Raw genomic sequence first — 23,506 nt, 5'->3', positions numbered from 1 at the left:
ATTGCCCTTTGGAATTATCTTGTACACACTTCTTTCCTTGTGCAGCATGGGCTGCACAGTGTTTTGTTTTCAATAAAATATCTGCTGAAATGCCTCTGTGTAAGAGGGTAGAGAGGGGACTGTATAAAAAAATTATTTGTAATGAAAGATGAGTTGGAGTAAGGATAATAAACAGAGACCAAGATTCCTACCATTGTTTAACTTCGTACTACCTTTAGAGAAAGAATTAATCATAATTTATTAGTAACAGCATCTCATTTTTAAAAACTTCTCAATTATTATAAGCATACATTATTGTCTAGTTCATATCCATATAAAATGTATGAAGAAAAGGTTCTTTTCAGAATGTTTTCAACCAAATGCATTCAAAATTCTTTATTAAGATACACTCTTCAGGTCACTGAATCCATCACTGAAGACATAGGAACAGGCAAGTAGGAGCATATACAATGCATCGGCTTGACTAGAAACTAGCTGTCTGTCAACTGCTGAAATTATCTTGTCACAAATTCAAGAAAAGTAATGATCAATCCACACCCAAACAGTAAGGTTAATGAATGATTGGAGTGGTCAGGTTCAGATTATGCCATATTCATTCAGCAAGCCTGGACTTAAGGTCTCCATGGGTCAGGCAGTGAGTTAGGGACAGAAAGATGAAACACATAGCTGCTGTCCTCAGGACTCACATGCCTGTGTGAAAGATTCATCAACAACCCAATATAAGATAGAGTTCTAACTGCTATATTTTACCTCTGTGTAAAGTTGTATGAATACACAGAGGAGGTATATTAGTCTGCTCATGCTGCCCTAACAAAATAACATAGACTGAATAGATTAAAAAACAGAAATGTTTTTTGTATTTTCTCACAGTTCTGGATGCTGGGAAGTCCAAGATCAAGGTGCTAGTCAATTTGGCTCCTGGGGAGGGCTCCCTTTCTGGCTTGTAGATGGCAGCCTTCTTGTTGTATCTTCCCAAGGCAAAGAGAGCTCTTAGGGCACAAATCCCATCATTAGGGTCCTGCCCCCATAACTTCATCTAACCCTAATTCCTCCCAAAGGCCCCATCTCTAAAGAGTATCACATTGAGAGTTATGGCTTCAACATATAAATTTTGGGGGAACACAACATTCAGTTCACAAAAAGAGGGAAGAGTTGTATCTGCCTAGTGCTGTAGAGAAGGGTATTATAGAAGCAACATTTGAACTTGGTCTCAAAGCAGGCATAGGAGGTAACCAGTGGAAGAGCTGGGAGGGCTTACCTTATAGAGCAAACAGCAGGAACAAAAACACAGAAGGAGAAACAAACATAATCATTTCAGCATATATAGAGTAAGGAGTGCCTTAGAGAAAGCAAAAAGTGAGGCAGGAAAATTAGGATGAGACCTGATTGTAGAAACTCCCTGAGCATAATGTTTATGAGCTTAAAATTTCTTTTTATGGGCAGTGGGAAGTTTATGAAATTGTATGTGTATGTACCTGTGTGTGTATGTATGTTATAATAAAGTCTGTTGTTTGGATAACAGTTACATAAGTTCAATATCTAAAAATTGAGTTTTTAAAAGTTTCTATGTTGAAATAATTTTAAACTTATAGAAAGGTTGCAAGAATAGTACAAAGAACTTCTTTGTAGTTTTTATCCAGATTTACCAATCATTACTCTCTTGCCATATTTATTGTTCTCTTTTTACATATATATGCATATATCATTTATATACTGATATGGATGTGTATGTGTATCTATACACACATACACATACTCACATGTACATACATACATTTTTTTCTAAACTAGTTGAGAATGGGTTCACACATTAATCCCTTTATCTCTTAATAATTCAGTGTATATGTTACAGAAATAAAGATACTCTATGCCAGGCACGGTGGCTCACACTTGTAATCCCAGCACTTTGGGAGGCTGAAGTGGGTGGATCACCTGAGGTCAGGAGTTCAAGACCAGCCTGACCAACATAGTGAAACGCTGTCTCTACTAAAAATACAAAAATTAGCTGGCTGTGGTGGCACATGCTACACTGTAATCCCAGCTACTCAGGGGGCTAAAGCAGGAGAATCGCTTGAACCTGGGAGGCAGAGATTTCAGTGAGCCAAGATTACGCCATTGCACTCCAGCCTGGGCAACAAGAGCGAAACTCCAACTCAAAAAAACAAAAACAAAAAAAAGGATACTCTATAGCTACGGTATAATTATCAAACTCAGGACATTAACACTGATGTAATAATTTTATCTATTCCAATTTTGTCAATTGCCTTAATAGTGATCTGTATACTATGTCAATTGTTTTTCTTGTATAGGACCTAATCCAGGACCATGTATTGCATTTCACTTTCTTGCTTCTTTTGTCTCCTTCAATCTGGAACAGTTCCTGAGTCTTTATTTTATTTTTTGTTTCAGGAAACTAACCTTTTCTTTAATAGTGAGAACTTTTAAAGCAACAATATGTTTTAAAATCTTTATTACTGAAAAATAACTAAGGTCTTCAAGAAAGAAATGGATAGATGACAGAGAGTATTAAATAAGGGGCAGGGAGGAGCCTTGGGAGATCAAACCAGCTAAGATGCTACTGGGATGGGAGAGGATGGGAGAGAAGGGAGGACACTTATGTGGGAGACCCAACAGGATTTAGCGCAGGTTATGTGCAAAAAGAAAAAAAAAAAAAGGAAAGTTTGATTCTAATTTGGACCATTTAGTGGAGTGACAAGGACTACAGGATAAACAGCAGATTTTGTTTTTGTTTGATTCTAGGTTGAAGGAGATGACCAGTTTTGATTTTGAATGTTAAGTGGATCTGTGTACTAGGCAGCTGGAAAAAAGTCATGGAGCTCAAGTGAGATATCTAGGATAGAGATGGATTACCTAAAGGAGGATAAACCTAAACAGCTCAGCTTCTGCTTATCTTTGTATTTCCCAACTGAACACAGCAAATATTTAATAAAGATAGTAGAATGACAACCATCTCACAGTAGCCTAAGGAAAAGGCAAGGGGTAGCAGAGTTTCATTCTAGGCAGATGAGGGCTGGGGGGACTCTGGGGATTTCCCTGAAGAACTGAGGAACCCCTGAGTCAGTCAACCAGGGCAGCTCCTCCTCTGTGCTGGGAATCAGTCAAACAAGAATTAACAGGGCACCAGAAGCACACAGTGCTTTGTACCAGTGCCACAATCCCCCAACCAGAATTTCCAAACCCCAAAAGCTCTTCTAAGCAAAAAGCATTTTGGTATCTCATTTGGCAGCAAAACCTGACCTGAAATGATGTGAGGCTATTGATAGTTTACACATCCCACACACTGTAAATATTCAATGTTTCACTACATGGCTACTAATGTGTTTGATAATAAATGCTGCCTCAGAACCCACTGGGGATGGTAGTTTATTCACGGTAAATGCATTCTGGGATGGCACTCTATCTCCTGTCTAAAATCCAAAAAAATCTGAATTTCAAACTCATGTGACTAAAAATTTCAGATATGCAAAGGTATTTGAAAAGTGGGCTAAATACTTTGCAACCTAGACTGATTCCTTTAAATGAATATTTTGCTCATGAAAATGTGAGTGGCGCTCAAAGAAGCTTCCCCAGTCTTTGACACTTCGTATCTGGAACTACTAAGGAGACCTTCGTTTCCCCTCCTCTGACCCACTGTTTCTGTTTTTTTCTTTCTTTTTTTTTTTTTTTGAGACGGAGTCTTGCTCTGTCGCCCAGGCTGGAGTGCAGTGGTGCAACCTCGGTTCACTGCAGGCTCCACCTCATTCTCCTGCCTCAGCCTCCTGAGTAGCTGGGACTACGGGCGCCTGCCACCATGCCCGGCTAGTTTTTTTGTATTTTTAGTACAGACGGGGTTTCACCATATTAGCCAGGATGGTCTCGATCTCCTGACCTTGTGATCTGCCCACCTTGGCCTCCCAAAGTGCTGGGATTACAGGCATGAGCCACCGCACCGGGCCCCCACTGTTTCTTATTGCAGGATATTTGGCTCTTTGTTTCTGTCCCTAGGCAATCATTACAGGACTGGCTCACCATTCTGATCCAAAGTCTTCATTCTTCAGGATATGGTTTTTGCTATTTTATCTATGGCCCTTCTGAATTGTAACTGCTTTTTAAGAATAGGGCCTACCAGCATCCTTCCCCAACCAGCCCTCCCCTACCCCTATCGTCACCTGTCTCTTGCTTTCCTGCCCTGAGTTGTTGGGGGAAGGGGAAGTGGAAAAAGAAATCATGTTAGCCATTCAGCCATCCAGTTGGTCATTTGCTTGCTTCATTTATTCATTGAAGAAATATATATACCGATCATCTACAACATGCCAGATGTTGTAGATGCCTTTTCCTCAACTACACTATGTACTTGACATACAGTAATTAACAGACATATTTAGTGTCATCATTGAGCTTACAATCTAACCAGGGGAAAGGGTATTAAATATCTACAATTGTATTAAGTGCTGCAAATGGGGATTGCAGAGTGCAAGAAGAGTGTGTAAGGGGGCAGAAGGGGCCTAACTTTGTATAAAAATTCAAGAAGTCTTCCTGAAGGAAGTGACTTTTGAGTTGAAAAAGAGAAAGACGAGAAGGAGGTAGCGAGATAAAGAGGGTAAAGTTGAGGGGAGGGGTGGAGGTAAAGAGAAATTCAAGCAAAGCAAATAGCATAAAAAGAAGCCAAGGCAGGAAGGAACTTGTACTAAAGGCAGAAAAGAAAGATGTAACTGTGGCCAGAGAAGAGAAAGAGAGAGCACATTGGACGAATTGGATGAGATAAAAGAATGCTGATTTTGCATGGTACAGGTACCAAAACAGATATATATAGACCAGTGGAACAGAACAGAGGCCTCGGAAATAATACCACACATCTACAATCATCTGATCTTTGACAAACCTGACAAAAACAAGAAATGGAGACAGGATTCCCTATTTAATAAATGGTGTTGGGTAAACTGGCTAGCCATATGCAGAAAACTGCAACTGGACCCCTTCCTTACACCTTATACAAAAATTAATTCAAGATGGATTAAAGACTTAAACATAATACCTAAAACCATAAAAAACCCTAGAAGAAAACCTAGGCAATACCATTCAGGACATAGGCATGGGCAAAGACTTCATGACTAAAACACCAAAAGCAATTGCAACAAAAGCTAAAATAGACAAATAGGATCTAATTAAACTAAAGAACTATGCACAGCCAAAGAAACTATCATCAGAGTGAATAGGCAACCTACAAAATGAGAGAAAATGTTTGCAATCTATCCATCTGACAAAGGGCTAATATCCAGAATCTACAAGGAACTTAAATTAAACAAATTTACAAGAAAAAAACAAACAACCCCATCAAAAAGTGTGCAAAGGATATGAACAGACACTTCTCAAAAGAAGACATTTATGCAGCCAACAAACATATGAAAAAAAGCTCATCATCACTGGTCATTAGAGAAATGCAAATCAAAACCACAATGAGATACCACCTCACGCCAGCTAGAATGGCGATCATTAAAAAGTCAGGAAACAACAGATGCTGGAGAGGATGTGGAGAAATAGGAATACTTTTATACTGTTGGTGGAAGTGTAAATTAGTTCTACCATTGTGGAAGACAGTGTGGCGATTCCTCAAGGATCGAGAAACAGAAATACCATTTGACCCAGCAATCCCATTATTGGGTATATACCCAAAGGATTACAAATCATTCTACTATAAAGACACATGGACTCGTATGTTTATTGCAGCACTATTCTCAATAGCAAAGACTTGGAACCAACTCAAATGCCCATCAATGATAGACTGGATTAAGAAAATGTGGCACATATACATCATGGAATAATATGCAGCCATAAAAAAGGATGGCTTCATGTCCTTTGCAGGGACACGGATGAAGCTGGAAACCACCATTCTCCGCAAACTAACACAGGAATAGAAAACCAAACACCGCATGTTCTCACTCATAAGTGGGAGTTGAACAGTGATAACACATGGACACAGGGAGGGGAACATCACACACCGGAGCCTGCCAGAAGGTGGGGAGCTAGCGGAGGGAGAGCATTAGGAGAAATACCTAAAGCAGATGACGGGTTGATGGGTGTAGCAAACCACCATGGCATGTGTATACCTATGTAACAAACCTGCACGTTCTGCACATGTACCCCAGAACTTAAAGTATTAAAAAAAATGCTGGTTTTTATCCTAAGAGTACTACTCAGCCATTGAGGCGGTTTAAGTAAGGATGTGACATAATCAGATACTACTCAGCAGATCACTCTGGCTGTAGTGTGGAGAAGGCATTGGAAGATGAAGAGTGAGTGTAGGAAGAATCAATAAAATATAAAATGGTTCTTCCCTCTTAAGACACATACACATCTAATAGAAGAGATAATACAGAAGGATACCCAAGGAGCATGACTCTGAGCAGACGGAACCTCCCTGCTGTAGGGAGGATCATACAGCCTAGTTGCACATGGGTAAGGCCAAGGCTTTCAGGAAGTCCCCATCATCTCCGAGGAAGAGAAACAAAACTCTTTCCAGATGGGTCCTCAGCACTGCCCTTCACCTCTGAGGGAGAAGCCCCGAGGGAGGTTGTACACTTGCATGTGCATGAATGCCTATGTTTGTGTGCTCTCTGGATCTCTCTCTCTCTCTCTCCCTCCCTCCCTCCCTCACTGCTCTGTCCATATAACCACTCTAAAATCTTTCACCCTGACCACCTCAGAAGTCCAACCACTGTGCTACAACCAAAGAACTCTCTATCTCTTAGGACCTTCTTCCATGTTTTGTATATGAATAATATCTTATTGGGATAAAAAACACAGTAAGATGATTTCACCCCTAAGTTTGCTGTCTATAAATACTGATCATTTAAGCTCTTAAGATGGCCATGAAGTTTGCATTAAGAATCATAATCATATGTTATCATATATAAATGACTTCACTCAAATTGAGAAGAATTTATTCTGGCTTACTTCCACACTCCGAGACCTTTATGCTGCCTGCTGGCATTAGGAACACTGCTGGAATTCATTGTTGAACAGAACTTTCCCTGAACTGAAACTTTACACTAAAAAGCAGTGAAGAGAACTTGTTACCATTCATTTATTTTGGACTCAGATTCAAAGGGTGAAAGAAAGGGGGGAAGGACAATAGTTCTTTGACACTAGCACTGGTAACTTAGCAAAAGGCCAAAAATGTCCCCATTAGACTTGATTGCCTGAGGCAGAAGTCAGGAAAATAATTATGCCAAGTAGATCTTGAGCAGAAGGAGAAAGATAATATATGTCATGAAGCACATCAAGCCATTACCAAATATTATGCATAGTCCCTGTGAATTCTAAAAATTCCCAGCTCTTCAATACTGTGGAATTTTATCAACAAGCAGGATAAAATGATATATTCAGAAATTTAAGGAACTTGTGCATTTGAAGCGAGGCTTTTCTTCTTTCATTTTTGCATTTGTATGAAAATAATACTCAAATATGGAAGGAAATGAGTATTGTACTCATCAGAACTATTTAGTATTCCAAGAAATAGTAACAATCACCTAAAATGTACTATTTGAAACTTACTATTCGGACATGACTCTGTTAGTTCCTATTATTCCTCTAATTGTAACTTTGGGTTCTAAAGTACTATGGCAAACTCTGGAAGTACAAATTCAGTAGGTTGGGGCAAAAATAAAATCTCTTTCTGGAATATGTGAAGGTCTGTCTTTTCTTTATTCTCTTACTACTATATACATCTTCCTAAGAAAAGTTGACAGTTTTTCTGGACTGAGATTTATGAATAACTGCCAAATTTAAAAACGGTTTGAATAAAAGCAAATAATTGGCAGACCAACAGTTTATTAAAATTCCACAACTATATTTCCATCTAATGTTGCATGTTATCCTTGCCCACAGCCAGTCACTGCCAAAACACCAGCAATCTCAGAAAATAGTAAAATGTGTTAGGTAACATTCTTTTGGACCATATTGATTTTACTTTCTCAGTTTCAATTCACAGTACACTGTAGAATTAACCATTTCAACATTAATAACTGTTAAAGATGTGCCCTAAAAAGTTATCTTGGCCTCTTAGGTGACAAAATAAAAAGTTGTGAATAGTATTGTTCAAACTTTAGAGATTCTATGTGGTACAAGTTGAGTGCAGAGGAATGTCCATCATCTATCTCTATCTCTTTATCTATACCTATACCTACCTACCTACATACATACATATACACACACATATACATACATATATATGTATGTGTGTGTGTGTGTGTATGTGTATATATATATATATATATATATATATATATATATATATATATATATAAAAATAATTCAAGAAGCCTTTCAGGATGAGAATTTATTTACATTTCTAGTTCACCATACCTTTGGGGCACTTTCTTCCCTTATAGCTTTCTAAACTCATAATTAATTATAGATAACTTCTAATTGGCTCAAATTATTCTTAAAACCATTAAACAGAGAAAGTGCTCATTGTTCTTCAACATTCAGTCCTCTCTTTTTTCCCAAAATTTTAGGTAAGCACAAAACTACATTAACTAGAGACAAATTTCCCTCTGTTTCTCTTGCAAACCAAGTTTTGCCAGTGGCATGAGAGTGGACACAACTGTGCAATTTCTAGGTCACATCAGAAAACTGCTTGCTTTCACTTCCTCTTTTCCCATACTTATTACTTAATAATATTTAATGTACATTGGCTACTTTATGCAAATTGATAACATCCTGAGAATAGAAAAGTTAGTAAAAATTGTTTTCATGTTCAACTTGTTTCTAAACTAAGAGAGTTAAGTAAAATCACAAATAGCTAGAAACAAGGTAAAACAAGTATCATCATAGATATGCACACAATGCCTACGGGTTCAAAAGAACAAGATAATGTATCTAGCCTGAGGTATCCAAAACGATTTTTTATTTAGGAGTTAATTATTAAGAATTGTGTTAATGAATGGCTAGTGTAGAAGAGGATGGCTCCGTTTTCCATGTCCCACCTATCAGAATGCAGAAAAGTCAAAGGCTTTGTGTGAGTTTCAACACTGGAGCTGAGTTAGCTAACAGTATTACATGAACACTATATGTCAGATAATGTGTTTAATGCTTTATATGTTGAGTTTTCTATAGCTGCTGTAAAACATTATCACACACGTAGTGACTTTAAAGGGCACAAATTTATTATCTTACAGTTCTGGAAATGAGAAGTCTAAAATGTGTTTCATGGGGTTAAACTGAAGGTATCAGAAGGGCTACATTTCTTTCTGGAACCTCTAGAGGGTAATCCATTTCCTTGACCTTTCTAGCTTCTAGATGCTGCCCACATGCCTTGGCTAGTGGCCCCGTCCTCTGTCTTCAAAACTAACAATGGCTGGTTGAGTTCTTCACACACTGTGTCACTCTGATCTCTTCTGCCTCCCTTTTTTACTTTAAAGAACACTTGTGATTACATTGGGCTCACTTGACTAATCTAGGACAATATCCCTATCTCAAGGTCAGCTGATGAGAAACCGTAATTCCACCTGCAACCTTAATTCCCCCTTGCTATGTAACAGCATATTCACAGGTTATGAAGACTAGAACATGGACATCTTTCCTGGGGGGAGGGCATTATTCTGCCTACCACATGTGGATAGCCTCATTTAATCTTCACAACAGATTTATAGATTTGGTACTGGCATTAACTCTACAGATAAGCAATGAGGACACAGAAATGTTAATCAATTTGACTATAATCACCAAGTCAATAAATGACAATTCAGGAATTAAAACTCAAATATTTCTTACCCCAGGGCCTAAACTCTGACAGGGTGTCCAACAATCCTGGTTTGCTTGAGACTAGCCAGTTTTAACAATGAATTTCCAAGCCAGGAAAACACTAGTCCCAGGCAAACCATGATGGTTAGTCATTATGTCTGAACCTTTAACCCAAATCCTGGTAACAATAGTTTAACAAGATTTTATTAAGAGCCTAGTGATCATAGATCACAACTAAACTCCAGAGAGCTCTACTGCCATGGCAGACATCCCCTAACATGGCAAAGAGATGCTAGAGAAATGCCACCTCTTTCTAGAAATCACTTTTTCCTGGTTTGACAAAAGTGAATTTGCTGAAAATGGTCAAGATAATTTATCCTAAGAAGATTCATAAGCAGAACCTTGGAAGTAGATAAAAGAATGAATTTGAAGTGGAAATGCAGTTTTGTCTTCTTGTAGTATGTCTAACAAATCAAATAATCCCAAACCACTAACTATTATAGGTCCTCATTTTAGCCCCTGCTAATTAATTACTTAGAATTCACTAAAATTAGTGTTTCAGATTGCATTTCCCTAGAAGCTGATGTTGGGTCAGGAATTAGAGTGTAAGTTTCTTCTTTAGGAGGTGATCCTAGGAGGCACTCATGTGGAGGTAGGAAAAGGAGAAAGGAAGGAAGGAAACCAAGTACAAAGTGTGAGGATGAGCAGGTTACTGATGGGGGCCCGCTGGGACCTTTGAGAGATGGTGTAGAACATGAATTGGAGTTGTTCTCCACCCAAGAGGAGAGGAAGCTGGAATGTTCCTCCTCCAACTCCCATCTGACTTTAGCTAAGGACGGCTCCTAGGGTTGACTTTGGCTAAGGATGGCTCCTAGGGTATCAATTCCCTAGCATTCTGGCCTGGCAGTAGGAAGCCGTCAGCACACACTGAAACAGTGCATGCAAAGGGATATGGACAGAGCACCAACATCTCCACTATACTTTGCCTACCCAAATCATATTCTGAGTCTTACCACTTCTCACAGTGTCTACAGCTACAACCCTAGTTTAAGCCACTTTCCCTGGACCACTGCAGCAACTACTTCAGCAGCTTTCCTGCCTCAACTCTTCCTCCCTACCCAATCCCCACAAAACAGCGCAAATGATTTTTCCAAAGCATGAATTCAATTATGTCGAATCCACCCTACCAAAAATTCAAACAGATTCTCACTCTACCAAAAATTCACCCTACCCTCACCCTACCAAAAATCCAAACAGATTCTCATTGTAACTAGAATAAAATCCAGCTTCCTTATAGCCTTTAAAGCCTCACATGATCTGACCATCTTCATCTTTCTGACCTCATTTCCAAAATAAGGATGTTCACTACTCAGCCACACTACTCTTCTTTTTTGTTAACTAAACCTGTCTCAGGGTCTTTGCTCCTTTGTTCATTCCACTTATAATGTAATTCCTAGTGGATCTTTACATCTGACACCTTCTCACCACTCAGGTCTAACTTAAATATCACCTCCACACAAAACCTTAGCCCCAGTCACACTTTTAAATTACTTTATTTAGAGCATTTCTTGGGTCCTTCAAATTATCTTTTTATGTTTTCATATTTATTATCTTTCTCCTCGCATCAAAATATAAACTCCTAATAGGCAGGGATTTAGCATGTCTTGTTCAACCCCACAGTCCACCCTTCATATCCAAGGGTTCTACATCTACAGATTTAACCAACCATGAATTGAAAATATTTCAAGAAAATACGTAACAGTAAACAATAATACAAATTAAAAAATAATACAGTATAACATTGTTTACATATCATTTACATTGTATTAGATATGATGAATAATGTAGAGATGATTTGAAGTATAGGGTAGGATGTGTGTAGGTTATACACAAATACTACATCATTTTCTATCAAGGACTTCAGCATCCATGGATTTTGGTATCTGAGGGGGTACTGGAACCAATTCCCCTGGATACCAAGGGACAGCTATATATCCCCAGTATGTAGAATGTCACCAGGCACATTTTAGTGATTTCAGAAATATTTATTTAATGAAAAAATAGGTTTCCAAGATTGATGAGGTTGAATGAAAAGTGCTGTCTTTCATATTGTAAATATAATTCCAATATGCCTAGTTTATTATTGGTTTATGATAATCATAAAATGATGGTTTGCTAAGCAAAGGCAAAACTGATGAGATTATGGAAAAATTTTCCTCAGTGGAGTCCCAATTAATGAAGTTCTACTTTCAAAGAGGCTTCTATGATAATGTTATGCTTATTTTTGGAATGGAAATAAAATGACATCTTGCAATTTTCTTTTTCCCCTTAAATAAACCTACTTAAACTATAAATTAAGACTGTTCTCTTCCAGGGTTTAGTGATGCCTTGAAAAATAACTGAAACTAACAGTGTCAAAAAACATATCAGTCAATTTCCAGGAGACACATTATTGCTTTCTGAAAATCTAGACAGCTCTACTTTAAATATTTAAATTAAGGCTGTTTTATTTTATTTTCTGTATTGTGGTTTCTGCCTTGTCATTTCACATGTGGGCTAGTATAGTTGTTGGATCACATCTCATCTTACATAAAGACCTTGAAATTAAAAAATGTTTGGAAGGAAATATTTTAAATAGGAAATTTTAAATAGGAAAAAAAATCAATGGATGTAGTCAGGGTTTAATAGGATGACCACAGCAGAACATAATACTCCACAGCGAGTCTCAAAGTCCTTCAAATATAAGCCAAGCCACATTCAAGCCTTCCTTCCTCATCCACTCTCCCGCTCTCTCCCCACAACCCTCCACACCTTTGCCTAGGCTGTTCCCTGAACCTATCTCCTCCCATCTTCTCCTCTCCCACCTTTCTTCTGCCTTCAAGTCCTAGCACAAGTGTCCTTTCTTCTTCTAGGAAGCTCCTCCAACCGCCACAGCAATCAGTAGGTCTTTTTTTCTGTGTTCAGCTTGTACTTGGTAGAATATACCTAATATTCCTGTTTTCACACTGCAGTATGATTTATTTCCAAATCACCCTCCACCCCACCGTGGGCAGTCTCTCGAGGGCATGAACAGTGTCTTTTATCGTTAAATCCTCATCACTTATCATACTTACTATAGGAAGTGCTCAGTAAGGAGTTGGTGAGTAGTCTACTCATTTAACCACCTTTAGGGCTTTGAGATGGGGTGTTCTGCATATATCATTTTGCTTTCCACTGGTAATTGGTAATAAAGATGGGGTGAGAGGAAATTGGAGGAGAGACTTGTTATTCACATCTCCTCTTTTTCCTTATGTTCTTTCTGGCTTCGGGATGGGACCAGAGACTAGATGGTGAAACTCTGGGCTGAGGTTCTGATATGCTAAACCACTGGTAATGCCATGATTCAGGTACCCACTTGCAGGACTTTCCTGACATCTTCTCACTTCCCTTTACAAATACTTCCCCTATCTACCTTCATTCCAAGAGTTCTTGTGCCCACAAGCTTTAAGAACCATATTTATGGCTTTCCTATCTTCCCTGACCCTTCTATTAACCTGGCTTGACCTCAGAATTCAATCCAAGAAAGTTGGTTTACAGATTATTTAACTTACTTAAACTAATGTATGAATATAGGAGCATTTCTATTTTACAATGAATCTGTTACTGTCAATACAATTCTGATTACTAAACTACGTTTAACTTGAAAACTGTTTTTTGCTAATTCCAGCACCCTGCTTCTAAGTGTTCCATATAAAATCATTTTTGGCCAGGCACAGTGGCTCACTCCTATAATCCCAACACTTTGGGAGGCTGAACCAAAAGGATCCCTTGAGCCCAGGAGTTCAAGACCAGCCTGGGCAGCATAGCAAGACCTCATCTCTACAAAAAATTAAAAAATTAACTGGCATGGTGGCACATGCCTGTAGTCCTAGCTACTTGGGAAGCTGAGGTGGGAGGATTGCTTGAGCCCAGGAGGTCGAGGCTGCAGAGAACTGTGATCATGCCACTGCACTCCAGCCTGGGTGACAGAGTGAGACCTTGTCTCAAAAATAGAAAATAAAATAATAAATTTTTCTAAAAATAGACATATTTATTAACTATTAGCTAGTTACTAATTGTATATATATTTTAAAAACATACTTTAGACAAAAGAAATATTACCAAATAGATCACCAAGGTCACTTCTAGCTCTTTTTATTTCTTTTTGAGGCAACGTCTCATTCTGTCACCCAGGCTGGAGTGCAGTGGCGTGATCATAGCTCACTGCAGCCTTGATCTCCCTGGCTCAGGTGATCCTCCCAGTTCAGCCTCCAGACACCACCATGCCTGACTAATTTTTCTATTGTTAGTACAGCCAAAGTCTCGCTATGTTTCCTAGGCTGATCTTGAACTCCTGAGCTCAAGCAATCTTGTTGCCTTTGTCTCCGAAAGTGTTAAGATTATAGATGTGAGCTACCATGTCTGGCCTCTAGCTCATTTTAAAAGCAACCAATACTTCATAATAAAGAGGTACAACCCAGTAAATTAAGTTTTTGACTGAATTTCAGCTATTTTAAATCACTCTTCAAACAAATATTGGCCTCATCTTCCAGAATTAAGAAAAACAAACCATCATGGTGAAACCCTGTCTCTCCCAAAAGTACAAAAATTAGCTGGGCATGGTGGAGCACACCTGTAGTCCCAATTACTTGGGAGTCTGAGGCAGGAGAATAGCTTGAACCTGGGAGGCAGAGGTTGTAGTGAGCTGAGATCACGCCACTGCACTCGAGTCTGGTGACAGAGCAAGACTCCGTGTCAAAAAAAAAAAAGAAAAAAAGAAAAGGAAAAACCTTTAATTCACCTTGAACTCAATATCACATCTGAGCAAATGTTTTTGCTTCAGCTTTAAATACAAGCCCAATAACTTATTAAAGCAAATGTGTTCGTTTATGTTATTTTCTTCTTTGAATTCTGTAGTTAATTATATAAAGTTAAATTATCTCATCATTGTATGAGAGGGTTTTCTTTAATGTTTGTCTGAAAAATATTTTAAATCCAATGTGTAAAAGTCATTCCTAATGTCACCACCTCTCTTTAAAATTCTAAGAAGCAATAAGCTAAAGTCCCCTTCCCATCCTCATCCCCCAGAGATCACCACTGTTGGCAACTGGGTACACATCCTTTCTTAATATTTCTTGCATTTATATAGATACAAGGGTGTCAGCTAATATTTATTAAAATATAATTAGCATATACTTATTGGTCTGCAATGTTCTTTTACATCTTTCTAATTAACATGGATGCTTTTCCAGGTCACTACTTTGGATCCAATTTATTCCTTTTAAAGGTTACGTAATATTCAGTTGTATAAACATGCCATAATTTATCCAACCTTTCTTCTACTTACTGACATTCAGTTTGTTTTCTTTTTTTTTGTTTGTTTGCTTCCTCAACACTTCAGTGTAATAATCAGATCCTTACTCTGCTCCCAACAATGCTGCTCCCTACAAACATTCTTCCCTCAACCCTGCATCTCCTTGAACTTGTCATCCAGTCTTTCCCCTTTTCTATACTGACAATTATGAAAGAACTGGCCTCACACACTATCTATATGTTCATTTATCATTCATTTTTTCAACTCTGCAATTTTTCTGTCTTGCTACTTTTCTGAAATTGCTCTCACTAAAGACACCCATGCTGTATAGCTGCCGCCCAATTCGGAAACTTTTCTTCCCAGTCTTCATCTCACTCAATATGGCTGCATCCCTTGAACCTTAGCTTCCTGAAGTCCATTCTTCCCTTGCATACTGAAACAACACTCTTCTGGTTCTTTCCCTACCTCTAATGGCTATTTCTCAGTTTCCTCTACTTGTGCCACCTCATCTGTTTCTTTCACGTCAGTGTTCCTCAGAGCTCTATTTTTGGCCTTCCTTTCTTCTTCCTCTACTTGTCTTCCTGGTGTTCTCGTCCACTCTGATGATGTCAACTATCACCTAAACACTCAAGATTTCCAAGTCTAACTGTAAACCCCACTCTTCTCCTGCTCTACAAATACCCAAATCTATCTGATCTACAAATACCCAACATCTCCCTAGAGTCACATGAAACTCTCCTTGTCTGTAGCTGAACTGTTGATCTCTCCTCCCACTACAACCCGATCTTCTTCCTGTATTCCATAACTCAATCACATTTCCACCCATCCTTGTTACCCAAACTAAACAAATCAGTCTTCCTTAACTTCTTGTCTACTTTCATATCTAGTTTTTCAATTGGTTCTACAATTTATCTGACATATTCTGTTGTCAGTTACTACATTCCTAAAGATATCCTCATCTACCCTTGCCTGCATTTTTATAATACTTCACAACTGATATCCCAGCCTTTAATCATATAACCTTCACATCATTTTCCATATGGCAATTAATATTATTTTCTGACACTGTCCATGTCAATCCCCTGTTTAAAAGCCTCCAATATCCTCTAATACCCATAGGATTAACAAATATGTATATATATAATTATATTTAATATATCATAAACATATAATAATGTATAATAAAAAGCCTTTAACTATCAGATTCCATTTTACCTAACCATCACCCCCAACTAATCTCCCTATCTTTCAGTCATTTCCTCAAGCTGGCTGGACTTCTACTTGTATTTGAGTCTTTGTTCAGGGTATTTTAGTCAACCTGGAATTTTCACCCCCTCTCTCTTATTATAATTTTATTTTTCTTATTAGGACTCATCTCAAAATTATCACCTCTGAATTCTTACCAAGCTCTCTTATCAATATAGGAATACAAATTTCCTATTCTGTGCACCCAAAGCCCTTTGTCCACATCTCTCTTGCTGGAACAACACTCTCCTAGTATTATAATTATTGGTATCATCTGGTATTATAATTGTTTGTTTCATCTGGTATTATAATTATGTGTTTCTGTGTCTATCTTCTCCACAACACTGTGGTCCCTAATGAACAAAGTCCATGACTTTCAGATTTTTGTATGCCATCCCACAACTCTTGTGTCCTGCATAAACCTCAACAAATGTTTTGAATTTAGAGAGTTTGGAAAGAACAGACGAAGTGGTCTGGTCTCAAGTCTACGCCTCCAATCTTCTGTGCTACAGATGACATTGCAGAGCACAGTGGTGGCCAGAAAATTGAGCAAACTTAGAATGGGTGCTTTGTTTACTTTTTTGCATTCATAATGCAGTTCTAGGATCAGCATTCAATCAACAATTTCACTGAGGTTGGCTGGAAAAAGTTTCTCCCTTTGGGAGAGAAGTTAGCAGTTAAGAGGATTCCTTTCTGCTTTTGGAATTAGGGAAATATTTCCAATTATGAGAGACCACAAATGGGTAGATGATATACTAAGTGGGAAGGATGCAGATTGTCTCTTCTCAGGATGAGTTTTAAGGAATTATTTCCAAATAAGACTTCATGTATTTCCTGATAACAAACCTTGATTTTCAATAATTGCTCCTGAGTGTAGAACAGTACAAATTAATAAAATATTTATTTGCTAGAGCTCTTATATCCTTGAATTAATTAATCAGCAAGTGAAATCTCTGAACCCCAAGTCTGAGAATCTAGAAATACTGTTAATTTAGAAATATCAGCAGTAGCAGGAGATATTACTTTTAAAATGTGCCCCACATTTAGTAAATGCTTCCCCTGAGGGCACTTAACTCCTAAAAACCATATGTCCTGTTTAGATTAATATATTATAATTAAAGTTTCCATGGCTGTTTAAGCTAGCCATCAGTGTGGAATCATTCAATCAATGCAGCCAACACTGCCTAAGAATCTTCTAGGTGCTAGGCACTAATGATACAGATCCAAGAAAACGAAGTTATTAGAAAATAGGTGGCAGTAACCCTTGAGTTCCCCGGTTACTGTCAAAGATTTCAAGAAATCAGAAAAGCAACATGGCATAGTACAAAGAGCTTTGAAGCCAATAAACTGGGTTTATATCCATACTCCATTACTTATTAGTCATGTAACTTTAGGCAAGTCACCTGATATCTCTGGGATTTCTTAATCTTCACAACAGGGTGAATACTACCTATGTAATGGAGGGGTGAGGCAATTAAATAATATATGAAAAGCATTTAACACAGTATCTATTATGTAGTAAATATTCAATAAATATAAATATTTCTATTTATGATGATGAATGAAATATGGTATTTTTCAAATCAACCTGTCACATTTTTAAAACAGATGTGCATAGAATGGCTTGCTTACAAACCCAGTGAAGTTATAATATAGTCTCAGAGCCAAAGAACTCACAAGGCAGAGTTCTCAGCTAATGGATGAAGTGTTATGACAACCAAAGTATTAAGCTGGATACCATAATATGAACTTTTCATATTGAATCAATTTGTATGTGGAAAGTAGTAAATGACCTTGATGAATTTTGTTTTAAAACAAGAGGGCTGGTTTTCTTTACTTTTTATTATTTTTATTTTTTTTATCATGAAGGTCTAGTTGTTCTGAAAAGGTTCTTTGACCCTAGGACTATATTTCCATTTAAAAAAGAAATTTCTGATATTTTTGTATGATACATGAGCTCTGGAGTTTTAAATGAATGGCAACTAACAAAATGTTTAAAGGGTTTTAGCTGCAGATCTAAATACTACCTAAAAAATACACAGAAATATTTCCTTTGCATGAAATTGCTTAATCTTAGGATATTGAGATGCTTTCACATATAACAGTCATGTTTATTAAATGGCTTGACTGTGAATTTTTGGTATAGTAACAAACAAATCACTATGATTCATAGTGACTTTAAAAAATCTATGCAAGTATTTTCATTGTTTCATGTACATTATTTTTAAATTTTCTTTTAAATTATTATACCTTACCATTTTACCTTACTAAAAATACAGTAGGGGTTTGTCCCACCAAGTACACATTTTATTGGTTATTTAAATAACTAATTTAATTACACATATTTTTCAACTAACACTTCCTGAATTTGACCCATTTAGCTTCATTCCTCTCTCTGAAGGGTAATGGCTCAGATTTTTGTAACTTATTTTAAATATGTAAGTTTTATAGTGAAGCAACATAATATTTGGATTATCCTTTTTATGTTATGTGAGCCAGTGGATAAGTACTTCTACTTATATACTCCCAATTATAAACACACAAAATTTTTGCTCAAAAATGCTGCTAGTATGAATTTCAAAAGGTGTTTTTTTCCCTTAAGACTCTTATAAAATGTGTGCCTGCTACCTCTGTGGTATGGCATTTTAGTTCCAGCAACTACACCTTTTTCCACCACTTGAAGATGCTGTATGTCTAGAATAATGTTGTCCAACAAACTTCTTGCCATGATGAAATGTTGCATGAGATCCAATATAGCAGCCACTAGTCAGATGTTGCTAATAAGTACTTGAAATGTAATTAGTGTGACTGATGAACTGAATTTTTTACTTTACTTCATTTTAATTAATTTAAATCAAAATAGACACATATGGCTAGTGCCTATAGTATTGGACAGTGCAGGTCTTGAATGCATGTTGAAATAGCTGGAGCAGTGGACAAGTATGGTTACTATGTCCTCACGCCCCACTTCTTTCTCAAGCTATTCAATGCTCACCCATAGCAGAATATAAGTCAAGGCTCATTTCTTCCACTGACCACTCTAATCCACAGGGATTATATTCTTCTCTGAAATTCTATATAGTTAGCTGTGTACAGGAAATTGAAAATTTAGTGCCAGATTATACCTTGCACAATAGTCTAACTTTAATATGCCTAAGTTTTAGCATAATACAAATAATATTACCATCTTCTATTCATTGAAAGCTTATAGTACACTTTATATATATCTTATTTCATTTTCATAATAGGCTTGTGAAATATGTATTATAATCTCCATTTTACCTATGAGGAAATTGTGGCTCAGAAAGATGACTAGCTCCAGTCAAACAGCTAGTGAGTAGGAGAGCTGTAACTTGAAATCAGATTCATGACTGCGTAGGGACTTTGTAGGCAGGCTCCTATGAGATACGTAAACAATTTGAGTATTGGAGCCATCATAATAAACCTAAACTTGTCTGAGAAAAATACATTGTAACAATTACAGCTTAGTGGGAATAAAAGTTTGTGATTCAATTTAAATAAAAAAGTATTTAATTTATAGTGAAAGACCATCCCATAGTTCTTCCATCAGAGACTAGATACATCACTTTCTTAAAGACCAGTTGCTCCCTCTAGTGAGCATCAATAGGAATGACATGCCTAGCAGTATTTAAAAGTGACAATCTCAGCAGGAGCTGCACCTTCCTTAAGGATGTCTTGGAAGTTTGTAGATGTGAATTTTAGTAATTACAAAAAATGAGAGTTGCTACTTTTATTAGGTGGTGTCATGGATGCTAGATATCATACTATCCAAGGGAAGTCTCCCTCAACAAAAAATGCTCTCCTTCCCAGAGGGAAAACCTATTTATATTTATCTGAGCCTCGAATTTAACATTTTACATATAAACACTAAACATGTTTACACTGATTTAATGTGCAATAAACTTTCCAGGAAGGAAATTATGGTATTTCATCTAATTTGAGACATCAATTGTAAAACAAAGTATTATTTAAGTATCACCAAGAAAGGAAGACAAGGAGAAAAAACACTGCCAATTAAACTATGACATGATGCATTCTTATACATAATTATTTTATGTTTTTAAAAAGAACTCTTTTAGGCTTTAGACAGAAATAAAATATCATACTTGGAAATAAATGAAAGGAAAGGGAAAAGCAAAATAAATTGTTAAGGTATTCATAAAACTTCATATTCACAAAATTTACTGAAAGTTTGGCTCAGAGGTGTCAATATCCATATTTTTTTCCAAGCAATACTATCCTCTCTGCTATCAAGTGTTTTGATGATGCAATATTTCCTAGAACAGTGCTCAACTCTTCTGTCTAGAAGAGTTTTAATTCAAGCCAGGCATAAATTATTGTAAGTTTTGATGTCAGTACTTTTTTGAGTCTTTCAAAGAGATTAATGGAAAGTTTTAAGGCAACAAACAGCACATATTCTTTCTTCAGATGATCTTTAGTTTGTCCAGAAATTGGTAACAATAACCGGATACACACATGCTCAGGCAGTGATGATGGTAATGATGCAATGACTGACACATGGCTGACAGTGCTTGTAAGACACATCCTGATTTAAGAAATGTGAAATGTATTTCCTATAATGGAAGAAATACAGTAACATGTACCAAGGGGAGCTTTTCCTTTTTCTTTTATAGAACTTAACAAAGATTGGGTCACCATTTCAGAAAACCTCATCACCATGGTATTTGAATCACAGGTAAAACATACCCATATCAGTCTCCATCCATGGTGATTATATCAACAAGTATAACTTTCTAATCACTTTGCTATTTCTTACAGTGTAGGCAATGTTAATGTCCTTACATATCAAAATAGACAATATTATAAATTACTTTTATTTCTCTTTTATGATGTGATTATATTGATGTTTTTCTATTTACCTGTGTAGGCAGGTTATATTATCTATAAATTTCATTTAAGGAAAGTAAAGACTCTTTTAGAAGATATCTGTTATAAAAAGATGGCATTCAGTCTGATAGAGTTGAGAAAATACTGAATTTGGGGATCATCAATAACTGCTTCTCCTCTGAAAAGAAAGAAAATAATTGGGTACTTTCCTTACAAATATTATATTAATATGCTTGTGGATAGGGGAAAGAGGGAAGAGAGAAGAAAATTGTGTATCAAGTTAACATCAATGATGGTTACACATTTTAAGAAAGTGAGTTCACCTTCCATTCACAATTGCTTCAAAGAGAATAAAATACCTAGGAATCCAGCTTACAAGGGATGTGAAGGACCTCTTCAAGGAGAACTACAAACCACTGCTCAACGAAATAAAAGAGGACACAAACAAATGGAAGAACATTCCATGCTCATGGATAGAAAGAATCAATATCCTGAAAATGGCCATACTGCCCAAGGTAATTTATAGATTCAATGCTATCCCCATCAAGCTACCAATGACTTTCTTCACAGAATTGGATAAAACTCCTCTAAAGTTCATATGGAACCAAAAAAGAGCCCGCATTGCCAAGACAATCCTAAGCAAAAAGAACAAAGCTGGAGGCATCACACTACCTGACTTCAAACTATACTACAAGGCTACAGTAACCAAAACAGCATGGTACTGGTACCAAAACAGAGATATAGACCAATGGAACAGAACAGAGCCCTCAGAAATAATACCACACATCTACAACCATCTGATCTTTGACAAAGCTGAGAAAAACAAGAAATGGGAAAAGGATTCCCTATTGAATAACTGGTGTTGGGAAAACTGGCTAGCCATATGTAGAAAGCTGAAATTGGATCCCTTCCTTACACCGCATACAAAAATTAATTCAAGATGGATTAAAGACTTAAATGTTAGACCTAAAACCACAAAAACCCTAGAAGAAAACCTAGGCAATACCATTCAGGACATAGGCATGGGCAAGGATTTCATGACTAAAACACCAAAAGCAATGGCAACAAAAGCCAAAACTGACAAATGGGATCTAATTAAACTAAAGAACTTCTACACAGCAAAAGAAACTACCATCAGAGTGAATAGGCAACCTACAGAATGGGAGAAAATTTTTACAATCTACCCATCTGACAAAGGGCTAGTATCCAGAATCTACAAAGAACTTAAACAAATTTACAAGAAAAAATCAAACAACCCCATCAAAAAGTGGGCGAGGGATATGAACAGTCACTTCTCAAAAGAAGACATTTATACAGCCTACAGACACATGAAAAAATGCTCATCATCACTGGCCATCAGAGAAATGCAAATCAAAACCACAATGAGATACCATCTCATACCAGTTAGAATGGCGATCATTAAAAAGTCAGCAAACAACAGGTGCTGGAGACGATGTGGAGAAATAGGAACACTTTTACACTGTTGGTGGGACTCTAAAGTAGTTCAACCATTGTGGAAGTCAGTGTGGCGAGTCCTCAGGGATCTAGAACTAGAAATACCATTTGACCCAGCCATCCCATTACTGGGTATATACCCAAAGGATTATAAATCATGCTGCTATAAAGACACATGCACATGTATGTTTATTGCGGCATTATTCACAATAGCAAAGACTTGGAACCAACCCAAATGTCCATCAATGATAGACTGGATTAAGTAAACGTGGCACATATACACCATGGAATACTGTGCAGCCATAAAAAAGGATGAGGTCATGTCCTTTGTAGTGACATGGATGAAGCTGGAAATCATCATTCTGAGCAAACTATTGCAAGGACAGAAAACCAAACACTGCATATTATCACTCATAGGTGGGAATTGAACAATGAGAACACTTGGACACAGGGTGGGGAACATCACACACCGGGGCCTATCATGAGGTTGGGGGAGGGGGGAGGGGGGAGGGATAGCATTAGGAGATATACCTAATGTGTAAATGACGAGTTAATGGGTGCAGCACACCAACATGGCACAAGTATACATATGTAACAAACCTGCACATTGTGCACATGTACCCTAGAACTTAAAGTATAATAATAATAATAAAAAAAAGAAAGTGAGTTCACACTTGTTCAGAGAGTACAGGCTTTTGAGACAAACTTTCTGGGTTCGAATCATGGGTCTATTACTTTCTGTACCATTTTGGCCAAGTGACAGTCTCTCTTTGCCTCAGTTTCCTATTGAGTAACACGAAGGTCATAAATGCAATTACCTCATGGGGTTCTTATGACAACTAAAAGATGTGACACACTGGA

General features: G+C 37.2%; 1 protein-coding gene across 11 annotated transcripts in view, besides 1 other annotated feature; it reads right to left on the bottom strand.

Annotated features, from left to right (window-relative positions):
• DSE (dermatan sulfate epimerase) overlaps positions 1–23,506 on the bottom strand; it is a 190,691-nt gene that overhangs the window by 137,052 nt on the left and 30,133 nt on the right. The gene's annotated exons all lie outside the window — the stretch shown is intronic.
• Positions 2,261–2,430: an enhancer, noted in NCBI's record as "experimental_88171 CRE fragment used in MPRA reporter constructs". NCBI's record gives its function as "activates a minimal promoter by MPRAs in K562 erythroleukemia cells, with activity observed for both the introgressed and non-introgressed 6:116626628 variant alleles {active_cell/tissue: K562}" and the evidence as "EXISTENCE:reporter gene assay evidence [ECO:0000049][PMID:34662402]".

The sequence above is a fragment of the Homo sapiens genome, chromosome 6, assembly GCF_000001405.40.
Source record: "Homo sapiens chromosome 6, GRCh38.p14 Primary Assembly".
NCBI classification, from domain to species: Eukaryota; Metazoa; Chordata; class Mammalia; order Primates; family Hominidae; genus Homo; species Homo sapiens.
The sequence above is the reverse complement of the archived record's forward strand: the minus strand, read 5'-3'. Positions and strand labels throughout refer to the sequence as shown.